The following is a 4,704-nucleotide window of genomic DNA, read 5'->3' as shown; positions in this document are numbered from 1 at the left end:
ACGTAGATAATCTTAACAGATAGTTCCAGTTGAAAGGGGGTGACGGGGGTGACTCTAAAGAAAATCATAGCAACTCTGTAAATATGCCATCACAAGGGGTGCCAGGGTGGACAGAAACCTAACATGCTAATAAGTCAGATAAATAATCCAATATGGAAAATAAGTCCAAGAAGCAGAAGAAAATTCCCCAAGAGAGCCACTCATTAGCAAAGAATGTAGTAAGTATATTAAACAAAATATCAGAGCTGAAACATAAGACAATTGATAACAGACTAAAATGAATAATAATTCTTAAGTGCAAAAGCAAACCTGACAGCCAAATGAGCTGCAGTATAAAAGCTAATTAAGAAATTCAAAATATCAATGAACAGACTAGACACACCTGAGAAAAAAAATTATGTAGAAGACAAACTTGCCTTTTTAAAAGTTGAATAACAAGGAAAAGAGCACACACATTATAGAGAATAGAATAATATATGGAAGAGGAATAATCTATTATAAATATCTCAGAAGTAGAAAACCACACAAATGGAGCAGAGAATGTTGAAATTTAACAGAAGACAATATTCTGAGTGTAATCTGCTGGTCAAAAGCAAAAATTGTGTTCAAATTATAATAGACACAGACAATTAACACAGAGAATTATACTATTTAAGAGACCAAACTTGAAGAGACAAAAAGAACTCTGGGAAGAAAATTTTCTAACAAAGATGAAAAAAAAAAAAAAAGCCGATTTTAGACATTTCTACAACAACATTCAAAGCCCAAAGGCAATGATGAAACACATCATCCTGAGAAAAAGAAAGTATCATACTAGAATACATACACAAAATTTCATCCAGGTGTAAAAGCTACGGACAGATACTTTCAGATATTTAGATTTCCCTGAGATCCTTTAGGGAATAAAATATCCTTGAGTCCTTGCTGACCAACAAAGAAAACCAAAATTCCCAAAAGAAAACTACTCAACAACCAAATCCAGCTAATGAGAAAATAGGTTAAAGTGAAACATTCAAGAATGAGAAAACTATAGTAAAAAGACCAGTGGTGTTAAGTATGTGTTAGTTAATTGGGCTGCTATAACAAAAATACCATAAAATGTGCGGCTTAAGTAACAAGCATTTATTTCTCACATTTCTGGAGGCTGGGAAGCCCAGACTAAGGTGCCAGATTTGATATCTGATAAGGGCCTACTTCCTGGTTCATAGAAGGCTGTCTTCTCACTCTGTCGTCACACGGTGGAAGGAGGTTAGGATTTCAACATATGAATTTGGGGAGGACACACGCATTCAATCGATAATAATATAAAATCACTTAAATATAGACAAAGACTAAAGACCCTTGATTACAAATCATGATTTGAGAAAGAAGAAAGGATGGCTCGAAACCAGCCCTCATGTTATTCAGTTAGGACAGGTTCTGGCAACATAGGACTACATTATCCTTTTCTCAGTATGAATGTTGGTCTGGCAGTTCTGGCTTCTGGTCTCAGTAATAGTTGTGCTCCTATTCCTAGCCCCAGGAATTTTCCAAAAATGTTGTAAAAATGAATGCTTAGTACAAATATGAATTGAGGAATAATTTTTAAATGTCTTTAATGGCGAGATATATTACTTTTAATGTCAAAACCACAGTTACTTTTGCACCAATCTAATAATATTTACATCAAACTGTTTGACTTTAAAGAATGCCTATTTTTACTACAGTCATACATCACATGCAATGTTTTTGTCAATGAGGGACAACATAAATGACAGTGGTCCCATAAGATAATAATGGAGCTGAAAAATTCCTGTCACTTAGTATTTACTGTAACACACTTTTAGTTGTTATTTTGGAGTGTACTCCTTACAGAAAGAAAATAGTTAACTGTAAAACAGCCTCTGGCAAGTCCTTCAGGATGTATTCCACAAGAAGGCATTGTTATCATAGGAGGTAACAGCTCCGTGCCTGTTACTATCTTTCCCTGAAGACCTTCCAATGGGATAGGACGTGGAGGTATAAGACAGTGATAATGAGTAAAATGGTGGATGCAAGGGGTAGGAGGATGGGGTGATGTAGGGTACAAAGTTGCAGTTATGTAGCATGAATAAGCCAAAAGATCTAATGTACGCAGCATGAGAACTCTAGCTAGCATATTGTATTCCATATTGGAAATTTGCTAAGAAAGATTTTAGGCGCTCTTACCATACACACATGTGCACACACACACACAAGCAGAAAGATAACTATGTGAGATGATGGATACGTTAATTTGATTGACTGTAGTAATAATTTCATTATATATATATGTATGCAAAAATATTGTGTCGTACCCCTAAAATATATACAGTACAAAACATTATCTGTTCTATTTTTTTTAAGCTGTAGCTCTTTGTATTAGTTTCCTAGGATATTCAGACAAGGTGGACAGTGTTAGGAGTTTTAGGGTACCAGTACACTTATTTCTGACACTCCAGGGGTCCCTGTCAGCTCAAATAGAACACTGCCAAGGCCTCTCCTGCTGTGGTTTCTCAATCTTCAACTCATTCATTTCTTATTTATTGAGTAGCTACTGTGTGCCAGGCATTGTCCTAAGTGCTAGTCATAAAGCAGTGAGCAATACAGACAAATTCCCTACCTGCAAGAAGTTTTAATTTGACTAGATCAGACAGACAAAATGACAATGTTTAGAAGCATTCTTTTTCCACTGCAATAACACTGCCTTTGGGCTAACCAAGGATTTCCCAACATCAGCACTAATCACATGTGAGGCTTGATAATTCTTTGGGTGATGGGCCACCCTGTACATTGCAGAATGTTTAGCAGCATCTCTGGCCTCTACTGTAATGGATTCCAGCAGCACCCCAAGTTTGGGACAATCTAAAATGTTTCCATTGTCAAATGTCAACTGGGGGAAAATCACCCTGAGTTCAGAACCACTGGCCCAGGAAACCCAGAGGGCCTCCCTTTCAAAATATTCACGTTGTTATTCTTCCCAATGCTGTGTTAGCATCTGCTCTTGCATCCTAGCTGATGTTCCTCTTAAATTCTGTTCTGGACAAATGTGGCCATTTTCCAAGTCTACAGTTTTGCAAGCCAAAAGCACCTCACACCTGGGAGTAGATGCCCACCTAGCAGAAATAATTGAAGAGGTTTCTGGCAACGTTACTGTTTTGTTTCAATGGTATATATATTTCATTTGGATTCTAGATGTAAGAGCTGCATATTGATAATCCATTACTTTCTTTAATTGATTCATAAAATGGTTGCTGATATTTTTGTTTTATACTACACAACTGTCTTGCTGAATGTACAACTTTCTGTAGGCCTATTTTCTGGTATATATCTAGATATGCTGGTGACTTAGCCCTACCCTGAACTATAAATTCTTTTCTATAGTTCAGGGTAGGGCTAAGTCACCAGCTTATCTACATATATACCAAAAATTAAATATACATTTGACAAAGCAAAGAATGGTAGTTACCTTTCTCCTCTTTACTGGGTTAAAAAGGATCAAATCAATGAAGAAATTAACTGTAGTGTTCTTCAGAAACTAGATTCTATATCTCTCTTTGTAGCTTATTATTATTTGGGGGTGAGGTGGGCATTGAGTTACCCCATGATGGAAATTTTTTATTCAGAGATTTTAATAATTTTGCGTGAAATTTTGGACACCTAGCTCTGTAAACATAACTAAATAATCCTGTTATTAATCACAGCACTTTACATCCTTCTTTGGTTGTCCTTGGGAGAATAGTTATTGGCAGGGCTTAAATTTCCATTACCAATAGGAAAAAAGATGAGTAAATGTATTCTTCAATTACAAACAGTAGGTGACAATGTATTTATAGTCTGTCAAAAAACTGTGTAAGCTCCTTTGCAATGTTGCTCAATTTAAACCCAGCACTGAATGATATTTATACATACATCACCCCGGTTGTCTCTCCCCTGGCTTTGTGCAATCGGTTGTGCATGCTTATCATTTGTGGGCCTGTTGTGGCACAGGCTCCAATGGCTCACATGCCTGAACTGAGCACCTCCAAGGTTTCCTTGTACTTCTTTTCTTATTGAAAACAATTGCTAAGTGAGAGATCTATTCTTGGTGAGCCAGACTGAATTAAACCATTGTGTGAGTAGCCATCACAACAGTAGTAGGAGCAAGGTGACCCAAGAACATCCTACAGTCATACAGCTACACACACACACACACACACACACACACACACACACTTTCATCTGTCACACAGTTGATTCAAGAGCTGCACAACTTGGCTTATAAAGTAGCATCTTAACCCTCCTATTGAATCAGGAAGTTGGTTCCTTTGCTCCCTTAAGGAATATGATTAAAGATATGTGTATGTTAGCAAAGTCCTCCTTGAGAAAGTTGTATCACTATTTTGCAAAGTTCATAAAATATATGAGAATTTTTTTTATCATAGAGCAATTAAAAAAAAAAGTTGTGAAGAACGTAGAACCCAGTGGGGTCTCACTGACTTGTACTTTATGCTGTACTGAATGTTCTTTTCTTAATGATCCAGAACATGTACATTTTGACAAAAATTTAAAGGCAAAGATATGGAACTTCCAGTTGTACTCTGATCAGTGCTCCCTGACTAATGATCGTAAAATTTTCTTCCTGTTTCATCTCTCACTCCAGTATGTAATGTCTAACACCTCTTTATTTTAGCTATAGCAAAAACGGGGTTGTAGCCTAAAGGAAAA

The 4,704-nt window shown here is 36.5% G+C and overlaps 1 annotated feature.

The window, feature by feature from the left end:
* Positions 3,803-4,304: an enhancer, noted in NCBI's record as "NANOG hESC enhancer chr2:35849281-35849782 (GRCh37/hg19 assembly coordinates)". NCBI's record gives its function as "activates a minimal SCP1, AML or CMV promoter by ChIP-STARR-seq in primed H9 embryonic stem cells {active_cell/tissue: H9 hESC(primed)}" and the evidence as "EXISTENCE:reporter gene assay evidence [ECO:0000049][PMID:30033119]".

Source organism: Homo sapiens, chromosome 2, assembly GCF_000001405.40.
Source record: "Homo sapiens chromosome 2, GRCh38.p14 Primary Assembly".
In the NCBI taxonomy this organism is placed as follows: Eukaryota; Metazoa; Chordata; class Mammalia; order Primates; family Hominidae; genus Homo; species Homo sapiens.
The sequence above is the reverse complement of the archived record's forward strand: the minus strand, read 5'-3'. Positions and strand labels throughout refer to the sequence as shown.